A 23,976-nucleotide genomic window follows, 5' to 3' on the forward strand; every position below is an offset into this window, starting at 1 on the left:
TATGTTGGCTAGAGCCTTGGACCAGAATTTCTAGCTATAAGCAACTACCTCTTTTTACCATAGTTGGACATAACACGTATTATTTTCTACTGTGTCATGGTTTTCAAAATGTAGGGAAGCACTATTGCCAGGAAAAGAGTTATTACTCAACTTTGAATGTTCAGTATCAAGTACAGCATCTGGTACATCCTTACAAGTGGGAACGTGCTTTGAAAGCTTTGTGAAGTTCTGAAATCATAAATCTTTAATATTTTGTTTATATCAATATTTTGTACATAATTTAGAAGTGCTGTGGTTTTATATCTCATTAATATTTAATTGATGATATTTCAAGTAATACCTGAAGCTGATGTTTATTCCCATATACATGTACTTATTCAATTATCCATTTGTATTAAAATTATCTTAGGTTGCTAAAAATCAACAGTTAGGTCCCAGTTAGTGTAAAATGAATTCTGGATATGAGTCTTTGCTGGAGAAAAAATATATATATATTCATATAAATATATATATATATCTCCAATATTTTTATGTAATATTTTTCTATCCCTCTTTGTGCTACCTTTTCACTTTCTCAATTGTGACTTTTGATAAATGGAAGTTCTCATTTTAATTGCTAATCACAAAGGAAACACAATTTATCCAATTATAAATTTGGATTTATAATTTATATAATTTATAAAATTTATAAATCCAATTTGTCCAATCCTCTATGCTCTTTAAGAAGTCTTTACCTACTCCAAGCTATTGAAGATAGTCCTCTAAATTTTCCTCTAAAAACTTTGATTTACCTTCATATTATGTTCAATCATTCATCCTGAATAGATTCTGTGTATGGCTTGAACTAGAAATTAAGATTGTTTTCCATGTGCATATTTAACTGGTCTGGCACCATTTATTAAAACTACAATTCATTCCCAATATACTACAGTGTCATCTTTGTCATAAATCAGATATCATAAACCAAATGGGTGGATTTTGCCTCAAACTCTTTATTCTGTTTCATTGTTCTATTTGCCTTTGCTCCATTACTACTCTATTGTAATAAGTGTAGCTTCATAAGTTTTGATGTCTTGTAGTGTAAGCCCTTAAGCTTTGTTTTCCAAGATTGCTTTAACCATTCTTGGCCCTTTTTATTTAAATGTAAATTTTAGAATCAGGTTGTCAATGTCCATCTAAGAAAATAAAATGAGCTTTTGACTGGGATTGCAATGAATTTATAGATCTACAGATCAATTTGGAAAGTTGACTAAGATCTTTACAATTCATGGATATATATCCTTCAATTTTTTAGATTAGAAAAATTTCAGTAGTGTTTTGTAGTTTTCAGTGTAAATGCCTTGCAGATATTTTGCTTGTCCTCAGTGTTTGACGCAATATTACTTAAAGGTGGACTATTTTTTTTCATGCTAGTATCAATGGTATTTTTAAAATTTCATTCCTATATGTTTATTTCTGCAATACAGAAATAGTGTGATTTTTGGTATACTGACCTATTCATATATATTAATAAATTCACATGATTATAGGAGTTTATAAATTCTTTTGGATTTTCTATGTACACAATAATGTCATTTGCAAATAATGCCATCTTATTTCTCCTTTTCAATTCTTATGCCTTTCATTTCTTTTTCTTCCTTATTGCACTGGATAGGACCTCCCATACAATTTTGAATATAAATATGTGAGAGCAGATATTCTTGTCTTATTTGTAATCTCAGGCAGACACTTCAATAATTTGCCATTAAGGATGATGTTTGCTGTAAGTTTTTGCAGACATTCCAACGTCTATTCCTAGTTTACTAAGAGTTTTCATTATGAATGGATGCTAAATTTTGGAGAATAAAGCAAATTAAATTAATTCAATTTTAAATATTAAACCACACTTGTATTTCTGAAATAAATTCCCATTTGATAATCATATATTCTCCTTTTTGCATATTGCTGAATCCAATTTGCTAATATTCTGATTAGGATTTTTACATCTACATTCATGTGTGATATTGGAATGTGTTTTTCTTTAAAATGTCCTTGCTGTGTTTTAGTTATTGAGATTATGCTGACTTCATTAAAAAAAAGTTGAGAAGCATTTCCTCTTCTGTTCTTTGGAAGCTTTGGTTTATGTTACTTCTTACTTAATAATTTGAGAAAAGTCAGCAGTGAATCCTAAGATTTTAGAATGTATGTGTCTGTGGTCATAGTGGGGGGGTCTTGTAAGATTCTCCATGGGGCCTGAAGGCTTAGGGAGATGAATAACTCCTCCCTTCTCAGGCCCACTCCCAAGGCACAAGGCCACTTCTGTCAGCAGCAGGCATCAGCAAGATAGCAGAAGCAGGAAGAGAGCCTGCCAGAAGACACCTACCCTGGCGGGAAGACACGTACCCCTGAAGATTGAGAAAGAGGACGTCTGGGTACAATGTAGCAGTTACGTCAGACTAGGACACTTCCTGTTTACAGGAGTCTATAAAACCTTTTTGCCCTGTCCTCACTTGGGACTGACGCCACTGTAGGCCTCAGCCTGCCTGCACCCAGGTGTTCATTAAACAGCATGTTGTTCCACACTGACTCCTGCCTATTGGTGTCCTCGCAGGGTTCAAACTGATAAAAGAACCTTACATCTGGTGCTGAAACCCGGGAGGGGCTCCAGTCCATGTCCCTCATGGACCTACCCCTCCATTCCAGAGAGCAGACAAAGGAAGCTCCTCAGTCTCCAGTTGCCTCTCTGTGCATGCACCTCAGTCACTGCTCTCACCTACTGGTAAGTTTTCCCAGGAGCCCAGTTAACAGGTAAAAATCTGCACAGCCTCTCTTGGTTTCTCCAGTCTGAAAACCCAACATTGGTCCAAGAAGGCTCTGGCATGTGCCAGGCACTCGCTGATCATCTGGTCTTAGGGGGATGCCTCTAAGCCATTTGATCCTGTTCCAGGAGCAAAAAACGCAGTAGTAACAATCGCTCCTTTTATCGTATCCCTCCAGCCATCCAGGACAGTCTCCTTTTCCCTGTTCTCCCAAGCCTACCCTCCATTATGGGGAAACTCGCGGTCCTCCATTCCAAAAAACAGCCCTCTAGCCTGCCTCATAAAAAACCCGCAAACCTTAGGCCTCAGGCAAGATATCTACCCTAAGTGTCTTGTCATTTTTTGCAATTCAGTCTGGCCACAATATGAATTGGATAATGGGTCCAAATGGCCCACAAATGAAACATTCGACTTTACAGTTTTAACTGATTTAAGCAATTATTGCTGACGACTGGAGAAATGGGGAGAAATTCCTTATGTCCAGGCTTTTTTGCACTCAGATCACAACTCGACCTCTGCAATTCTTGCTCACCTGTTCAAATCCTTCTCCTCCATTCTTGCTGCCCTGATCACCTTTCTCTTCCTGACCCTACCTCTTTTTCCTCATTCAATCCAGCTGACTGCTGTCTACCCCTCCCAGCCCCTACCTCTTCCTCTCAACCGTCTTCTTTAACCCCCCAAGCCTCCTCATTATATTCTCAACCGCCATCTTCCCAGCTGCCCTCTTCCTAGCGGCCATCTTCTCAGTCAGCAGTACCCACTTTTTCTTCTGCACCATCCCCTCCTCAGGACAATTCTAGAATTGCCTGTACCCATTCTCCTCCCCCACCACCCTCTCCTGAGGCTTGTAAACCCATCCCAACACCTTATGCCCCTGTCTATCCTCCACTGCCTGTTAACTCATCCCCCCTTTCCCCTTCAAACACTCAGCAAGAACCACTTCCGGCTTCTTCCTTCTCTCCTGCCCATACTCACTTGGGTGCCATCTTTGGCCCATGCCCCACCCTTACTTCAGTGCAGGTGCTAGAGTGCCCACTTTGGGAAGCAGCAGGAACTGAAGGTGTTTTTAGAGTTCATGTTCCCTTCTCCCTCACTGATCTCTCTCAAATTAACAAAAGACTCAGTTCATTTCCAGAAGACCCTACCTCTTACATTAGAGAGTTTCAGTACCTCACCCAGTCTTATGAACTAACCTGGCATGACCTCTATGTTATCCTCTCTTCCACCCTCACCCCAGAAGACCGAGACCATATCTGGACCCTAGCTCCGTCACATGCTAATACAATTCATCACCAAGCTCCTGCCCAGCCTACTGGCACAGAGGCAGTCCCCAACCAGGACCCCACTGGGATTATCAAGACAGGACCTCTGGACACCGCCATTGAGACCACATGATTGTGTGTCTCCCTGCAGGACTCAAAAAGGGTGCCCATGAAGTGGTAAACTATAAAAAACTTTCAGAAATCACCCAAGGTCCTAATAAAAACCCAGCCCTTTTTCTCTCTGGTTTAACTGAAGCCATGAGAAAATATACCAACCTAGACCCAGCAAGCCCAGAAAGAACTACTATCTTAAACCTTCGGTTCATCTCCCAGTCCACCCCTGATATTCGGTACAAGTTTCAGAAGCTTGATGATGGCCCTCACACCCCAGAATGAGACCTTCTTAATTTAGCCTTCAAAGTCTTTAACAATCATAATGAGGAAAGTAAAAGGCAAAAACAGGCAGAGTTTTAAATGCTTGCTTCCACCATCAGGGGCCCTGCAGGCCCACAGGGTCGCAGCTCCACAAGGAAGCCTCCTAGCAATCCACCTCCACCTGTCTGTTTCAAGTGTGGCAATGAAGGCCACTAGTCCAGACAATGCCCAAACCCAGGTAAGCCCACCAGGCCGTGTCCCCTCTGTGAAGGACCCCACAGGAAGTTGGACTGTGAGTGGCCCCCACAAGGACTGCCCCTTCCTAAGCCGCCCAAAACCTCCCACTCGAATCTCATTGTCCTTGCTACTGAAGACTGATGGTGTCCTGGAACGGATGCCCCGGCAACTACCATCGCTTCATCTGAGCCAAGTGTAACCCTGATGGTGGCAGGTAGGCCAGTATGGTTTTTTTTTAAATTAATATGGGACAACCTACTCTGCTTTACCTAATTTTTCAGAACCCACCCAGTCCTGCCAAGTCTCTGTTGTGCGAATTGATGGACGAGTCTCCAAACCCCAAGCCACCCCTCCACTTTTCTGCTCCCCACACACCTTTTCCTTCACTCACTCTTTCTGAGTCCTGCCCTCATGCCCAACTCCGCTCCTAGGCAGAGACATCCTTTCAAAACTCCACACTATCCATTTCCACATTCCCCACAGTACCCAACGCATCAACCCAGACCCCTCCGGGGCTTCTTTCTTCTGCTCCTCCAACCTCCCACCTTAAAACATGCAACTTTTCCTTATCCCCCATCCGTAGTTAACCCCGCTGTTTAGGATACTTCCAGACCCTCAGTTGCAAAACACCACACCCCCCTCCGCATTACCTTTAAAGAGACCACCCAGTTCCTATCACAGAAGCAGTATTACATCCCCCAAGCAACTCTCATAGGCCTAAAGCCTATCATTTCTGGCCTCCTCGCCAGTCACCTACTCCACCCAACAAATTTCCCTTTCACACACCAATTCTACCTGTTAAAAAGCCAGATGGAACTTATCAATTAGTCCAGGATCTCAGGCTCATTAACCAAGCTGTACTCCCAGTATGTCCAGTAGTTCCTAACCCGTATACTTTACTCTCCACAGTTCCCTCCAATACCACCCATTTTTCTGTTCTAAACCTAAAGGATCCTTTTTTTCCCCACAATTCCTTTACACCCTGATTCCCAAAACCTCTTTGCCTTTATGTGGAAAAACCCTGACACCCACCTTTCACTTAAGCTCACCTGGTGCGTACTACCTCAAGGTTTTAGAGACAGCCCCCACCTTTTTGGAAAGGCCCTTGCTCGAGACCTCTTTACCTTATCCCTAAAACCATCCACTCTCCTTCAATATGTTAATAATCTGCTCCTATGTAGCCCCTCTCAAAGAGACTGCAATGCCCATACCATCTCTCTTTTAAACTTCTTGGCAGAACAGGGGTATCAGGTCTCCCCTAAGAAAGCACACATGCACCCCCTCAGTCACCTATCTAGGCCTAGCTCTTACCCCGCAAACCCGAAGGCTCACAACGGACTGCATATCCCTCCTCCAGTCCTTCCCGCTCCTGCAAACTCAGCAAGAAATTTTCTCTTTTCTAGGACTAGCGGGATATTTTAGGCTCTGGGTTCCCTCCTTCACTCTACTTGCCAAACTGTTATACCAAGCTGCTAAAGGCCCTCTCCATGAGCCTTTAAAACCTGCACAGCCTATTACCCAATCTTTCCGTCTACTCCAGAAGGCTCTCATCTCAGCCCCCGTCCTCTCTCTCCCAGACCTCGCCAAACGTTTCTCCCTCTATACCGACAAATGGCGTGGAGTTGCACTATGTGTTCTAACCCAGTCTAAGGGACCCACCCTCCAGGTTGTTGCCTACCTCTCTAAACAGCTTGAAGCCACAGTTCTCAGATGGCCTGCCTGCCTCCGAGCATTGGCAGCAGCTGCTATCCTCACCCTTGTGATTTGTCTGTTCTTATCTTTTGATATTTTATTGTTGGAAATCACATTTTTATTAATTTCTAAAAGTTCTTTCTATGTCAGGCAGGAAAAAGAAAGAAGTCTTTGAGTATCGAATATACCATACAGTATTGTGCTTGGTATTTTAACGAGTCATTTGAAATTAAAATTCTTATTTCTTGAAACGCTTACACTACCATATGTATACTGTCAGAAAGTCTTAAATAAAAAATTTCAAATTAAACAAGCTCAAAATAGTGAAATCAAGTTATACTTCTAGCCTGGAAATGCAAATTTATGAAGTTTTAAGGTAATTAACTATGTTTGTCTATAGAAGTTAAAGCAAATTTAATAAATATAGACAAAAATGAGTTTTAGGATTACATTCAGGTGACATTCTAGAAGTTTTCCTTGGCATTATTACAATGAAATTATTTCTTTTTTAAAAAAATTTCAATAGTTCTTGGGGAACAGGTGGTGTTTGGTTACATGGATAAGTTCGTTAGTGGTGATTTCTGAGACTTTGGTGCACTCATCACCCAAGCAGTTTACACTATACCCATTGTGTAGTCTTTTATCCCTCCCCTCCCCTCCCCACAACCCTTTCCCAGAGTCCCCAAAGTCCATTGTATCATTCTTTTTTTTTTTTTTTTTTGAGACGGAGTCTCGCTCTGTCGCCCAGGCTGGAGTGCAGTGGCGCGATCTCGGCTCACTGCAAGCTCCGCCTCCCGGGTTCACGCCATTCTCCTGCCTCAGCCTCCCGAGTAGCTGGGACTACAGGCGCCCGCTACCACGCCCGGCTAATTTTTTGTATTTTTAGTAGAGACGGGGTTTCACCGTGTTAGCCAGGATGGTCTCGATCTCCTGACCTCGTGATCCGCCCGCCTTGGCCTCCCAAAGTGCTGGGATTACAGGCGTGAGCCACCGCGCCCGGCCCATTGTATCATTCTTATGCCTTTGTGTCCTCATAGCTTAGCTCCCACTTATGAATGAGAACATATAATATTTGGTTTTCCATTTCTGAGTTACTTCACTTAGAATAATGGTCTCCCACTCCATCCAGGTTGCTGTGAATGCTGTGATTTTTTTTCCTTTTTGTGGCTGAGTAGTATTCCACAATGTATATGTACCACATTTTCTTTATGCACTCATTGGTTGACAGGCATTTAGGCTGGTTCCATATTTTTGCAATTGCAAATTGTGCTGCTATAAACATGCAAATGCAAGTTATTTTTCACATAATGACTTCTTTTCCTTTGGGTAGATACCCAGTAGTGGGATTGCTGGATCAAATGGTAGTTTTACTTTTAGTTCTTTAAGGACTCTCCATCCTATTTTCCATAGTGGTTGTACTAGTTTACATTCCCACCAGCAGTGTAGAAGTGTTCCCTTTTCACTACATCCATGCCAACATCTATTCTTTTCTGATTTTTTTATTAAGACCATTCTTGCAGTAGTAAGGTGGTATCTCACTGTGGTTTTAATTTGCATTTCCCTGACCATTAGTGATATTGAGCATTTTTTTCATGTTTGTCGGTCACTTGCATATCTTCTTTTGAGAATTTGTCTATTCATATCCTTTGTCCACTTTTTAATGGGATTATTTTTATCTTGCTGATTTGAGTTTGAGTCAGTTCCACAGGCTTAACAGGAAGCATGACTGGGATGCCTCAGGAAACTTACAATTATGGTGGAAGGCAAAGGGGAAGGAAGCACATCCTACCATGGCAGAGCAGGAGGAGGACTGAGAGAGTCGGGGGGAACTGCCACACAGTTTTAAATCATTGAATCTCATGAGAACCCAGAAAACAGCAAGGGGGAAATGCACCCCCATGATCCAATCACCTCCCACCAGGCCCCTCCCCCAACACGTGGGGATTACAATTTGAGATGAGATTTGGTTGGGGACACAGAACCAAACCGTATCACGTGTGTGGGTTTCTATTCCTTTCTCCATGTGCATACCAACATATGTGAACCTATATACAGAGAGGTTTTTAATTACAAAAATAAACATGACTTTGTGACTTTTTTTCACCTAAATATAACGAATAAACTGCAAGCCAGCAGATAGATCAAATTCATTCTTTAAATTGCTGTATATTTTTCCAGCTACAGACCCTGCTGTGACTCACTTTCTAAGAGGACTTCATTTGCCGTTTGCTGCAACAGACCTGCTGACCTCAGAAAACCTTGAAGGGGCTCTCTAGTGAAGGGCTTTCCAATCTTTGTAGTTGGGAAAGAACTGCTGCTTGAGACTGAAAAGGTCTGGGAGCAAAACAGCTCCTCATAGAAAGTTATCAGATGGTAAGAGGTCTCATAGGCCCATGAGAAATGAAGCCACCGCATCTCTTAACACTTAATTTGCTACTGCCCAAGAGATGTGCACAACAGGGTGCTGGCAGATGCTGAGGAAACCATAGCTTGAGTAGGCCAGGAAAAGTTAAATTCATTTATGGGGCATGGGAAGAAAGATGACCAGTGCAACAGAAATAAGAGAGATGTCTACTGAAGCAGAACCAATGGAAGAGACAGAAGATAATTTTAATGAAAAATATCATGGAATTATAGAACTAAAAATAGAAAAGATTTTCAGAAATTAAAAACTACCACGATTTCTTAATTAAAAGTTCAATATCCAACAGAAAAAGAGAATGACTGACTTTGAAAATAACATTAGTGGTCAGAAAAATCGCTGGAGGAAATACCTCATAAGAGACCCAGTGCAGATAACCTGAGGGAAAAGACCAAGAAGCATGGAGGTCAGATCCAGGAGCCAACGAAAGAGGAGGAAAGGAACATGAGAAGTAATAATAACATAGATAATGGAAGAAAACATTTACAACTTAGAAAGTATTGAGGGCCTGAATATCAAAGATAAAGGGAAAATCCTGCAGATCTTTTAGTACTGTGGGGAAATGGGCTTTCTGGCTCAAGGGCCTCGCTGACATTGAATTTAGGTCACATACCAGGTAAGCCCTAGGTACACACAATGTGTGTACCTAATGCTTCACATGGAAACAGTATTAAGCAGAGATTGTTAAATTCTAGCATTCAGCAACTTTCCTTTGTCATGTTGTCACTAGGAGCTAAATACCAACCTTAGGAACTTTGTGGTAGTCTTTTCCTTCCACAGTCTATCTAAAGCTGCAGGCACCAATTTTTAAATGCCATAAGCACAAATTACTTTGGTAACAATAAAAAATTAAAAATATGAGAAAGGAGGTATTCATGGGTAAGACAAATGCATTACTGTTATAAGAAACTACTATCTTTATTTATGAAATGGATACAGAGGTAGTATGGTGAGAGTTAAGAGCAGAGCAGAGACTCTGGATGTCTGCCACTTACTAGCTGTGCGACCTTGGGCAAGTTACCTAACCTTTCCATGTCTTAGTTTCCTGAAAATTAAATGAGTTAATATATTATCACAATTATTAACTCTGGCACATAGCAAGTGCTTAATCAATCATAGCAGCGCTGCTGCTGCGCTGCTGCTACAGTGGGAAAACGGCTCTGTACACAGAACTTTAATGTTGCAGACTTGAATTTAAATGCCAACTTTAAACAAGTTTCATACCACAGCCATGGTAATTAATCCTTTTTGCTTACATTTTTCATATCTAAAACAGGAGTACGAATACCTGCCTCTTTCAACATCTGTCCATCTATCCACAAACATCAACTGAGTGCCCAGATATTTATATGACTAAGATACATTTCGGCCCTTAAGGAGCTTACAGTTTAGTGAGTAAAACTCAAGAGCTTTGCTTTCCTTTCATGTGGGCATTTAAGGCTCCCTTTGCATTAGGAGGTAAAGAAAGGGCTGCAAGGGTCAAGCATGTTTTTAGTATGATGAGTACTAAGATTTTTTTTAAAATGACACTAATCTTGTTAGCAATTGTTGGGTAAAAAATGTGGCCAGTTCTGACACTCTGTATTTTGCTATTTTAAGAAAAATACTACGAACCAACTGGATCACTAGAAAGTAAGCATCTGTGAATGATATGACAGTCTTAAAAGTGAGGGGATCAGAGGGGACCAGGCCCCCATCTCTGATCAGAAAAAAAGCATAAAACATCTTAAAGAGATATTTCTGTTCATAGGCTGGAACTGTGTAGTTCACAACCTGCCTTTTTTAGTGATCTTTTAAGACCTGAGTGTTCCTCTGAATTAACAGCTCTCAAGTCATTGTCCAAGAGGAGTCACTATTACTTGATCCTTTGTAAACCACGTCATCCCCTTTTAGAGTATCCTGCCTTGGCACACACAGTGGGAGATTATAGCAAACAAGTTCTTTTTCAACTTGGACAACTTTATCCCAATACTAAAGACCTTATTTTAAAGCTTCTTGATGTTAAGAGTGCTTATTTTGATCATCCCCATGAGTTGGCCATGGAAAGGGTGGGATAAGCTGTTCCCCTTTAATCTTTTATTTAACTAAGGGGCTCTAGAATGTCTAAAATAATAATAATATCAGATAATCATTAGTATAAAACGAATAAAAGAGAGTACAAATTGAAGACAGCCTGAATATCTATTCTTTATAAAGAAATAATGCATGACCACGTTTTCATCTGTCATTAGCAGTTGGTACTTAATAGCGATGATTTAAAATTGTATACTTAAAACCTAACAGAAATTATAATGGCAACTCAGCATATACTTGAAACAATATTAAGTGTAGTATATTGAGACATTTAGTAGCTTTAGAAAGTATGTAATTACACCATTATTAAAAATTAAAATTCAGAATATTTTACATTTATATATCATAATATAAAACAATTATATATATTATTTAAAATCATATTGACCAAGACTTACTACAAATTCACTTGAATGGTGGCTACAAACATCACAAAGAATGAATCTGACTTCCATGTCTATGTGTGAGAAAAATATTCTAACAACCAATTTAATTTTAAAAGAAATTAAACCAAAGATAAATAAGAATTATCCAGCAAACAGGAATAGTAACAACTATCCTATTTTAAAGTTTCAGTTAGATAAATTATGTTTCAAAAATCTTTACATAAAAACCTCTAATACTACCACTCATAAATCATAAAATGTAACTGGTAGTATATTTATTTTTTTACCCAATCACATTTTAGACTCATAATAAAAATCTACTACTTAGAGAAAATAAATTTGACAATTTATTCAAACATTGTTACATAAGAAGTTTTAAGAAACTGTAAATAATTCTTAATACTCTCATTTTGATTTTCCGACTTCTCAAGACTATTTTGTACTTCTTTCAAACACACTTCCTGATGTTGTGCTTTCTAAAGAAAAAAGGAAAAAAATACAGATAAGCAATAATAGCATTCATTCCAAAGGACCAGAGTCATAATATTAAAAACATATATACAATAACTAGATAATTCTTTTTGATTTTTTAAAATAATACTCACATCTGATGTGTTCATTCTTAGAGCTCACTCTTTAAAATTAATAATTAAAGCACACACATGGTTGATCTTCACTGATATAATTTATAATATACATTCATTTAGCCCCAAATTATTACATATTTAACATGATTAACTTAATAGGTTAACAACTGTCATAATTTCACATGTAACATGATATATTTTCATACTAGTTTTTGCCATTTTCTGTCTAAAAATTCACATTTTATTCCAAAATAATTAAATGTCTTAAAAGTTGATAGAATTCTAGTTTTGATAATGTGAACATTTTCTTAGAATCTCTTAAAAAATAAAAAGAATTCTTCATATTACACTGGTTGAGGAAAAAATTTAAAACCACAATACATTTTTTTTAACTAAGGTGCATATGAATTCCTAAGTAGGTGAGTTCACTGACAATGCTTTAGATAAAGACAGGTTGCAAATATCATCTAGCCTCCAATTAAAATATAGACACCTAGATAGAAAAGAGAGAACTTTTACATCCTTCATATCAGGTGTTCAATGACACCTGATACCTTCTGAAACTGAGCAATGCCCAGCTCAGGAAATGAGGCAGGTAAAAAACAATGAGCTAGGCTGGGCAGTACAAAGTCACAGGATGAATACAATGAGTTTTACTCAACAATTTGGAAAGAAAAATAGTAACACATACTTATTTTGTAGGGTAGAATATAAAATGTCAATGGATTTTAGGATAATACATAAGACTTCAAAGACATTTCAGGCTTCCCGAGGGGTGCCTTGGATTAAGCTGCTGAGGTCATCCACAGATCTGTACATCCATTCTGCACCACCCTATTAGGGTACTTGGACAGAAAATACAAAAAGGCCTGCAGGTAAGCAGGGCACTGTGGGAGACACCAGGGATACAGACGACTATGAGACATGCTTTCAGAGTGCTTACAATTCAAATGGGGCTGAAGCAGGTATATTAAATAAATACTGCCCACTTAACTGTCCCCTGGAAGGCATAAAACACACAAACTCATTTTTCAGCAATGTTTAAATCTATGCTTAGAATTCTAGAATTTTACTAGTACAAAACTTATCAGGTTTAACAAAACATCAGATCTTTATTTTTTTTAATTTTTATTATACTTTAAGTTCTGGGATACATGTACAGAACGTACAGGTTGGTTACATAGGTATACACGTGCCATGGTGGTTTGCTGCACTCATCAACCCGTCATCTACATTAGGAATTTCTAATGTTATCCCTCCCCTAGCCCCCCACGCCCTGACAGGCCCTGGTGTGTGATGTTCCCTGCCCTGTATCCATGTATTCTCATTGTTCAACTCCCACTTATGAGTGAGAACATGCGGTGTTTGGTTTTCTGTTCTTGTGTTAGTTTGCTGAGAATGATGGTTTCCAGCTTCATCCATGTCCCTGCAAAGGACATGAACTCATCCTTTTTTATGGCTGCATAGTATTCCATGGTGTATGTGCCACATTTTCTTTATTCAGTCTATCATTGATGGGCATTTGGGTTGGCTCCAAGTCTTTGCTATTGTGAATAGTGCCACAATAAATATACGTGTGCATGTGTCTCTATAGCAGCATGATTTATAGTCCTTTGGGTATATACCCAGTAATGGGATTGCTGGGTCAAATGGTATTTCTGGTTCTAGATCCTTGAGGAATCGCCACACTGTCTTCCGCAGTGGTTGAACTAATTTACACTCCCACCAACAGTGTAAAAGCATCCTATTTCTCCACATCCTCTCCAGCATCTGTTGTTTCCTGTCTTTTTAATGATCACCATTCTAATTGGTGTGACATGGTATCTCACTGTAGTTTTGATTTGCATTTCTCTGAATGACCAGTGATGAGCTTTTTTTCATATGTTTTTTGGCTGACTAAATGTCTTCTCTTGAGAAGTGTCTGTTCATATTCTTTGCACACTTTTTGATGGGGTTTTTTTTCTTGTAAATTTGTTTAAGTTCTTTGTAGATTCTGGATATTGGCCCTTTGTCAGATGGATAGATTGCAAAAATTTTCTCCCATTCTGTCGGTTCCTGTTCACTCTGATGATAGTTTCTTTTGCTGTGCAGAAGCTCTTTAGTTTAATTAGATCCCATTTGTCAATCTTGGCTTTTATTGCCATTACTTTTGGTGTTTTAGTCATGAAGTATTCGTCCATGCCTATGTCCTGAATGGTATTGCCTAGGTTTTCCTCTAGGGTTTTTATGGTTTTAGGTCTTACACTTAAGTCTTTAATCCATCTTGAGTTAATTTTTGTATAAGGTGTAAGGAAGGGATCCAGTTTCAGTTTTCTGCATATGGCTAGCCAGTTTTCCCAACACCATTTATTAAATAGGGAATCCTTTCCCCATTTCTTGTTTTTCTCAGGTATGTCAAACAGCAGATGGTTGTAGATGTGTGGAGTTATTTCTGAGGCCTCTGTTCTGTTCCATTGGTCTATATATCTGTTTTGGCACCAGTACCATGCTATTTTGGTTACTGTAGCCTTGTAGTATAGTTTGAAGTCAGGTAGCGTGATGCCTACAGCTTTGTTCTTTTTGCTTAGGATTGTCTTGGTTATGTGAGCTCTTTTTTGGTTCCATATGAAATTTGAAGTAGTTTTTTCTAATTCTGTGAAGAAAGTCAATGGTAGCTTGATGGGGATAGCACTGAATCTATAAATTACTTTGGGGAGTATAGCCATTTTCATGATCTTGTTTCATCTTATTCATAAGCATGGAATGTTTTCCATTTGTTTGTGTCCTCTCTTATTTCCTTAAGCAGTGGTTTGTAGTTCTCCTTGAAGAGGTCCTTCACATTCCTTGTAATTTGGATTCCTAGGTATTTTATTCTCTTTGTGGCAATTGTGAATGGGATCTATTTATTTTACTAGCTTTAGCCAAGTACTAGGGACATTACAGCAAAACCCACCTCATTTATTTTTTCAGAGGCTTCAATTACACAAAAAAACAGCACACACATTTTACAATATCAGAAAGTCAAATGGTGAGTTAAAAAAAAGTTTAGAAATAAATGGAAGGCCTGTGCTAAATTAAAGGTGATCGACGTTTTGTTCTGACTAAGTTGTCATGAAACTTTTGATGGCAATAAAATCAAATTGTGCATGCCAAAAATCATTTAACTCTTGAATCTTTTAGGTTTTCAACTTTTTAGACACTTGGGAATTAAAAAAATAGATTTCATGGAGTCTCTGGATCCTGGAAAAAACACAGTATCATTATTCTCTATGTCATTATCTAGTAGACAGTTATTACGTAATTTAATCATGAGTAATGCTAGCTTTCAGAATATTCTATGCCAATTGACTGTTTCATGAGTATTCAGGAAAAAAAACAGAAGACTAATTAAGCACAGTCACTTTGGTATTTTCATTTCATGGCTGAGTGGACTAAAGCATCCATCTCACATGTATATCTAACAATACTGAATGTTTACTACAAAATTATAACTTTCTAAAACAAAATATTCATTATTCAAGACAGATATAAAACTCACTTGTAATAATAGTTTACACTGTGTTTATCTTTAAAAAATGAAAAATTCATATCAGGATGAAATCAAGTAGATTATATCTGTAATTTTCATTAAGCAGATGTCATTGCAAAAGTAATATGTAGGGAAAGTGCCTGATGAGATTTGATGGCAATGCAATACATGCCATCCAAAGAGGCAGAATAATAAATTATTTGGCATATCATAACATTTTTATTTGTTATGTCTTATATTGCTTGTTATTTTTAATATTATCAGTAAAACAATAGACTTGATTCACTCACTTTGTATTTTCTACATGGTAAGAATGTTAAATGTTATCTTTTATAATATGTTAAGCCATGCTAATACTTACACTGTTCATTTTGCAAACAAGTTGATTTTGTTCTTCATTTTTCTTTCTAAGCTCAGTTTCCAGATCTAATATTTTAATTTGTAAAGCACTCTCTCTAGATGACATTTTCTCTATTTCTTCAGCAACCTGTAATTTTTATCAAAAGAGTAAAATAAAGTGCTTTCTTTAAAATATGATTTAAAGCCTTGACAGTTATATTGTACCTTTTTTCTAAACAGATATTACTTGTATGTTATATCCAAGTTTAAAGATGTTCTATCTTGAAGAAGCATATATAGCGTAAGTATATACTATACTTATCTTCGCAGCACTAAATATCTGCAAAATTGGCTTGAGATGGAAGAGATGTATACATTTTCACTGCTCCGTGACTTAGGTAGGTGTTTTCTCCAACAGTATATTTTAAAAACAGACTGAGACCAATTACCATTTTTATAGCATTTATATTCACCAGGGTGTTAAGAGCAGTGATGGAACATAGAAATTTCTTGTTAAATACTCATTATACACTTGGATTAATAGAATTGGGAGCAGGAATTGGTATACACACTTCCTACAAACACACACACACAAACACAGAGACTGGTTCTTCATTCATTCACTTCCAAACTGGTCTGAATTTGAATTTTCATATTTCTCTGGTTACTTATTTTAGCAGGAAGTCTAGCTTAGTTATGTTCATCTAAGGAATCAGATATGTTTCCTTCTAAGGAAGCCTATTTGTAAGAATGCTGGGTTGGAGCCACAAGAATGAGAGTAGAGGCAGGGACTGATCCAGGAACAAGGAGCTAGTGGAAAGGACTGTCCTCCAACCTAATTCCTATGAACTCGGTTCTAAGTTATTATAAAGATTTCTTCTGTACATATTCCAAGCACAATTATGCATGAGAGATGCCAGTGTGAGCTGAAGCTATGGGAGAAAGGGCCTTTAGGACAAACATTGACGCCCTTGGCGCCGTCCCCTCAGTGTGGGCAATGGTAACAGGGCAGTGATGGCACTCTCACGTGGGCAGAAACTACAGATAGCCCCATATTCCACTGTAGCAGGAGAGAAAGGAGAGGGCAGACATACCTCTGGGACTCTGAACTCTTCCTTTCAGGAAGGAATCTGAGAGCATACCTGGCATTTCCAAAATGCACTTAGGCTGAACCCTACACCAGACTATGAGAGTGCTGAGAGCTAAGGCCAGGTCTTATTCATCTTTGCATCTCAAGCACTAGCAGATTGCCTGATACTGAAGTATTCGTTGAATGCTAACCTAATGGATGTAACTGAAATTTAATATTGTATGTATTTATCTATGCAACAATATTTGTCAAAAGGGACTTGAACTTTACAGCTCACTGAATCCTGATCAAAACAAAAATTTTCAATTATTTGCACATTCAATTTGGTTGTATATAAAAAAGGTACAGGAGGAGATTATGTCTTCAAAGTGTTTTCCATCTCTGCCCTTTCCCCAGCCACATTACCATTTATCTAGTGAAGTAGCTCTAGCCTAGCAATGTATCTGTTTTGCTTGAAAAGGAAGATAGTTAAAGAAGAAAAATGTAATTGCTCCCTTCACCCTGTCATCAGGACAAAAACAATAACTACAGGTTGCAAGATGTTTAAAAAGATGACTCTTTGGTAAATGAATTAAAAAGTTTCTAAATAAAGGCCATGCATACCTTTTGTCTTCCTTCTTCTAAAGCAGCTTCCAGTTGTCTGGCCAATGCTGTATACTCTGCAGATTTCTCTTTAAACTTAAGATTGCTGTGCTTAAGACATTCTTCTTGGTTTGCCAGCTTCTTCTCAAGCTCTTTATTTTCTGCGTCCATCTGTTCTAATTTTCTTTTTACAGAAAACATATATTTTAAAATGTTAATGTGCAGAGAAATATGCAGCAGCAATGTTAAGTAATTTAATACTTACTGTTGAAGGTTTTCACACTTCAGCTGAATAAGACAGTTTTCCTCTTCCAGAGAAAGCTTTGTCAGAAGATTGTGATTTCCATCAACCTAAAAGAAAAAAAAAAGTTTTCTTAGTCATTTTCTTCACAATCAACTTCCAAAGAAATCCATATAATTTATTGTTAGAACAACCACAAGCAACGAGAAGGTATAAATGTTACTACTCTTACACAGAAAGACACCAAGAAAATGTTATATTGTTAAAATGGAAGTTTTAAATTCCTGGTTAAATTTAAAGAAGTTATGTTGCCTGTATTGGAAAATAACCAACTAAAAAAAATTCAGGATGATGGCTATTAAAACACTTTGAACAACACCTTATTGAAGAAAGATATTTATTTTGTTAAGTTGAAATAGGAAAATTTTAAGCAGTATTAATCTCCTATTTTTGGATACCTAGGGTTTCTCTTATGGTTTTCTGTTTCACCTAAAAATACTGATTAATAATTGAGTATCTGTGAAGTCGAAACTGTAAATAAAATACATATTTTTTTGAGAAGCAAAGTGAACAAATCAACCAAAGACACACTCACCCATGCCAAGACAGAATATTCTTCCCACTGCTTCAAAATCTGCTCTAAATAATGTAAGAAGCTTTGATTCAAGGAAAAAATTTTTTTCTCATAATTTCAATTAGTAATTTAGGCTAATCTATGTCGTTTGACATTTTACTAGAAAAATCTCTTCTCAGGAATTTAAACTAAAATTTTGTCTGCATATTTTTATCTAACTTTTAAGTTCAGGGGTACAAATGCAGGTTTGTTACACAGGTCAGCTTGTGTCATGGGGGTTTGTTGTACAGATTATTTCATCAATCAAGTATTAAGCCTAGTACCTGTTAGTTATTTTTTCTGATCCTCTCCCTCTTCCCACTCTCCACCCTCTGAAAGGCCCCACTGTGTGTTGTTCTTCTCCATGTGTCCACGTGTTCTCATCATTTAGCTCCTACTTTTTAAGTGAGAAAATGCAGTATTTTTTTTTGCAAAATTAAAATCCAGATCATATTTGGAAGATAGACAGGGAATGCTTCCTAAAACTGCCTTGAAAGTAAAAGAAAAAAGACTTGTCACCATCTTTGGACTGCTCCTTTAAAAAAAATTTCATTAATTAAAAAAATATTGAGTGCTTACTATGTGCTAGGCATTGAGCTAGGAGAAGGCTATGTGGCTACTAACAGGATACACATGATCCATATTCTGATGGTATAAAAAGTAAAACAGGAAAAAGAAACAGACTGAAAAATATCCCAAAAAACTTGACGTACAATTCTAATTAAAATAAATTCAATTTTTGTAATGTAAGTTTCAATAATTTACCTTATCCTTACATCAAGGAACATATATGTAAGTATAACTTTGCTCCTTCTCTCATTCTATTACCATGTCTTCAAATGTCTATAGATTTGCATGAATAAACTAAAATAAGAATTTTAATTACCAATTTTTCACCATAAAATACTAAAAGAATAGCTTGCAAAACTGTATTATAGTATCTGCATGAAAATGATGTTTTACGAACTAAGTAGATGGGAATTTAAAAATCAAGCCCTGACATGAGTGCCCTCAACTGGTGAAATCATTCCAAAGCATTCTTTTAACGCATCTAGCAAAACTCAGAAGGACGGCTGGACACCTGGCCCTGAAGCTCCCTAATGGTGTGTTCCTGGTCTGCACACTTCCCCTTGCAGCACTGCAGACTCTCCTGACACTCGTGAAGCCTCCGTTCCGCCGCCGTCAAGGAATCGCAGACACGCTCTAACTCCTTCAGATGAGACTCCATCTGGCCTCTCATCTGAGTTGTGGCAGTAGGGAAATAAGTGCAAGATCACACATTCAGCATTAATATTTTTATTATCTTAAATACTAGATATGCTTATAACGTAAGTATTTTAGGTATAATGGCTTTAAATAAGAACACAACTGAATAAATATTAAACTCTGTTAAATAAGAATGTATAACTAAAAAGTGGGGTAGACTTTAGTTTTCAAAAAGTTTGTTGAGCACATAAATAGGGTAAATTAGCTGACAGGGTGGATGTTTAACTAATTTTTAAGAGCAAATTTTTAAAATCCTGACATTATATTCAAGCATAGATTATCACTAATAACCATTACTAATAAAGCCGTAATTGTCTACTGCCCAGCTATAGGTTCTAAAGGAATTGTCACTTTTAGTCATTCAATCTTATAACTCAGATACTTACTTAAATTAGAGCAGCTTGCTTCACTCATCTTAGCCAAAACTGATAGGGTTTACTGTATATTATTTAAAAATTGCTAGTATCATCAGTTCTCACTTGCCTTTAATTTGGCCATTAATGTTACTATCAACAAATCTCTCTAATTTCATCTACATTAATCTGTTTTGGCTACTGCAGTTCCTCGCTGCAGCACTTTCGTGGAGATGTGAAAAGCAGCAACCTTAAGAAATGTTTGCACTGCTAATTACAAAAAATAGCCAGACTCTTTCCCTGAGACAGGAACACCTAATAGTTTCTGTGTAGTATCTGGCATTCTTGATCAGGAAAGATAATGCAGTATTTTTTTTTTTTTGCAAAATTAAAATCCAGATTATATTTGGAAGACAGACAGGGAATGCTTCCTAAAACTGTCTTGAAAGTAAAAGAAAAAAGACTTGTCGCCATCCTTGGACTGCTCCTTTAAAAAAAATTTCATTAATTAAAAAAATATTGAGTGCTTACTACGTGCTAGGCATTGAGCTAGGAGAAGGCTATGTGGCTACTAACAGGATACACATGATCCATATTCTGATGGTATATAAAGTAAAACAGGAAAAAAAAAAAACAGACTGAAAAATGTCTGTTTTAAGGACACTGAGGGATCCAGAACAAAGGATCCCTCAGTGTCCTTAAAACATCTTAGAGGCCATGAGAAAACCAGGAGACTTAAAACAGTGAAGTAAGAAAAAGAAAAATTTCATTAAAAAAATAGTTGTCTTGTTAAATACTAGTTAGAAAACATTGTGACCTCACAGTATCTGAAAAAGACAGGCTCCAACCCTTTCCGTCATTTGAACAGGATTGTAAAATATGCTTTTATTTACAGTGCTGCCTAGCAGAAAAGGAGACATTTGCACTGGTATGTTTCATGAGAAAATGAGACCAAAAGACATGAAATGGTTTATTCGCTGGCCTGCTAAAAATAGGTGAAAAGTAATTCCATGAAAGCAGTAAGTTGTGCATTCAGTGAGCTATCTTTATGTCTGTATAACTGGAGGACGCTTGCTCTGGCTGACCTCTTCTTCACATTATTGCCTTGCTCTGACTTCTCAATCCTAAGATAGGGAGCAACCCAGAGAGAGTAACCTTATTAGATTCAGATGGAAGCGACCACTAACATCGCATGACCTCTGCTGCCAGGAGTCAGCATCCTACAACTTTCACTGCTTCTTTACCAAAACAACACAAAAAACCAAACAGAGATGCGGTTTCATTTAAAAATTTTAAAATATTCACAAAAACATCATAACTCGCCAACACTGGCCTTCCCTTCATTCTGTTGCAATAGAACAAATAAAAGGAAATGATCGTTTTTTAAAAGATATTATTTTTCTTCAAAAATGCATTTAGCAGATATTGGCTTTGCTTTTGTAGACGTAAAACATTTATAACCAGAAAAAAAGGGTGAGATTAAAAATGAGAGATACTTAGGTTTGTATACTTATGATTGATAACCATTTTTTGAGCTATTTAAAGTCTGCTCTTGCATCAGAAAAATTAAACATTTATGCTATTTTCCAAATATTAACAAAAAAGTGAAAAAACATTCACATAAACAAACAACATTTCCAGCCTGGAAGAAACATTATTTCCTTGGAAAACAAACTCTTACAGAGGCTAAGACTAGCCCTTTCCTAAGTATGAACTAGAGAAAATGACCAAAATGAATGAATTTGTGTACTATTCATAAAGTAAAAAATATATAAAATATTATTTATTTGAAATTCCAAACGTACCTTCTCTACATTTTTATTTTTGGTTTTTGTTATTTGGTTATTTTTATGTAGCAAATTTTCACATCTGCTTTTTACTATTTCAGCTGCTTCTTGCAACTTTTGTACCTGAAAATAAAGTATTAGAGAAACATATTATTTTTAGAATCATAACATGAGATAAAAATCTAAAATTTAAAATTTCATTTTAAACAAGTCATTATTTTCCTATCAATATCCTTGACTGGTTCATCTAATGTTATTACTTCTTTAAATATGGAATCACTCAGTGCTCTACTCTAACCCACAATCTTTGTCTGATTTACCTGTCTTCTCTCATCAATACTTCTAAACTCTCCACTTGAGCTTTGAAGACTACAAAGATTTTCATTTGCAGATCAATGTCACTTCAAAGAATCAGTCTCTGGTCCAAACTAGCTTCCATTTAAATTATTTTTCCCACCAAATCAAAATCTGCTAAAAAAAAAAAAAAAAATTCTAGGCCCTGCACCCAGAATATGGTCACTCAACCACAGTATTCCTGCTGAGGGATTAAACCCAAATAACCAGCTGGAAGACCCTGATGAATAACAAGTCCCACAGTCCACCACAACCTCCATTCCTACCTCAGACCTGGATGACTGAAATATTCTAACTGGATGTCTCAACTTAATTTTCCCATCTAATCCATCGAGATGCAGCCCCTTCCTACTTGCCCACACTTTGGCCCCCTTAAGCTTTCATCCTTAGTTCATTCTTTTTTTTTTTTTTTTTTTTTGAGATGGAGTCTTGCTCTGTTGCCCAGGCTGGGAGCACATTGGTGCAGTCTCGGCTCACTGCAACCTCCACCTCCTGGATTCAAGCAATTCTCCTGCCTCAGCCTCCTGAATAGCTGAGACTACAGGTGCATGTCACCACACCTGGCTAATTTTTGTATTTTTAGTAGAGACAGGGTTTCACCATGGTGGCCAGGCTAGTCTCGAACTCCTGACTTCAAATGATCCGCCCACCTCAGCCTCCCAGTGGATTACAGGTGTACGCCACTACACCCAGCCAGTTCATTATTCTTTAATTCAAACTCTCTCTGACCAGTGTGTTAACCATCATGCAAGGACCTGCATAAGTCCCATCTTATGAAGTTTTTTCTTGAATACTACATTTCCAAAAAAATAAAGGTTTTCTATAAATTACCATTGAACACATGGTCTATTTCATATATATTGTCATATGTTCTTTTCTTGGTCTTTCATGTGAATAATCTGAATTATACTTTATTTCTTGAGAAAGGAGGCATAATGAACTTTAATGACCCTAGAAGGGAGTCATTAATCTAAATCAATACCATTAAATACACATGATGACAAACAAATATAACCAAGATTAACAAGAATACATTAAGGGTCACATTATACCGATGTAATTCATTTTAAATCTACTTTTAGGAATATCCAGTATATCCATATGCAGTGTTTGAATCAGGAATCAGCAGAATCATCTATTTATAAAGATGTGTGGGACCTTAAGAAATATTTGAGACACACCATATTATAACCCACAATGATAGCCCCACCTCTCTTCAGTTCTATTTATTTAGATTACAAAGAAATAGTGTTTTAAATTGTCTACCAATTTTAGTAAACACTAAAATAAATGCAGTAGTCACCTGAGTTTTATACATTTCAATAAGGGTTTTCTGTTTTTTTTCTACTTCTTGCAATTCTGAGAGTTCATTTTCAACAGATACAACTTCATCCTTCAAAGCAGCAAGTGTAGTCTAGCAAAAAAGATATAGATTTTATAAGTCATTAGAATACATTTATACTCCAGTGCTACAGAATTATTATAAAAACATAACTCATGTATTAACAAAGTTGATAAAATAATTATTTTTTATTTCATGCAATACCATCTAAAATTTAGGAATTTCACAAAGCTAGTGACTAATAATTATGAACATCCTTATTAAGATTTACACAGGACATATTATTTTTAAAACTTTCTAAATTTACTGACAAAAAAACTTGGAAATGTGCCTAGATATGAAAAATCAATAGAATACAGAGGTTACTGGAAAAGAAAAATACACAAAAATTATACTTAATACATGATAAAGGTTAGATTTTTAAATCAATGGAGGAAACATGGACAACTAAATAAATGACAATAAGACAACTGTTTAACTATTAGGAAAAAAACAGGTTAACTACCTGCCTCAGCCCAACACTAAAGAAGCATCAAATGAATTAAATAAAAACTTTAAAAATTTTCAGACAATTCAGATAAAACTGTATTTCATTTCAGGATAGCAAAAGTCCTAAAGAGCATAAAATTAAAAGAAGATATGTAGAAATGTAAAAGTCTGAGATTTTAT

The 23,976-nt window shown here is 37.0% G+C and overlaps 1 protein-coding gene and 1 non-coding gene across 36 annotated transcripts in view; both read right to left on the bottom strand.

Annotated features, from left to right (window-relative positions):
* Positions 1-9,679: 9,679 nt before the first annotated feature.
* Positions 9,680-23,976, bottom strand: part of ODF2L (outer dense fiber of sperm tails 2 like) — a 49,487-nt gene continuing 35,190 nt past the window's right edge. For 12 of the 35 annotated variants that reach the window (NM_001395534.1, NM_001395536.1, NM_001395523.1 and 9 more), the window contains 6 exons: positions 23,269-23,379; positions 21,630-21,734; positions 17,617-17,702; positions 17,373-17,535; positions 15,702-15,827; positions 9,680-11,721 (listed from right to left, as the gene is read on the bottom strand). In NM_001395534.1, coding sequence (NP_001382463.1) covers positions 11,593-11,721; positions 15,702-15,827; positions 17,373-17,535; positions 17,617-17,702; positions 21,630-21,734; positions 23,269-23,379 — 720 coding nt within the window. In that variant the 3' untranslated portion in view covers positions 9,680-11,592. Of the gene's footprint in view, positions 11,722-12,943; positions 15,052-15,701; positions 15,828-17,372; positions 17,536-17,616; positions 17,703-18,187; positions 18,227-19,286; positions 19,446-21,629; positions 21,735-23,268; positions 23,380-23,976 lie in introns of those variants that run through there. The other 23 variants (NM_001395526.1, NM_001395527.1, NM_001366782.1 and 20 more) reach the window with 5 other exon arrangements.
* MIR7856 (microRNA 7856) lies at positions 20,475-20,530 on the bottom strand. The gene has a single exon (NR_107010.1). It is a non-coding gene; the product is annotated as a microRNA 7856 (primary transcript).

The sequence above is a fragment of the Homo sapiens genome, chromosome 1, assembly GCF_000001405.40.
Source record: "Homo sapiens chromosome 1, GRCh38.p14 Primary Assembly".
NCBI lineage: Eukaryota > Metazoa > Chordata > Mammalia > Primates > Hominidae > Homo > Homo sapiens.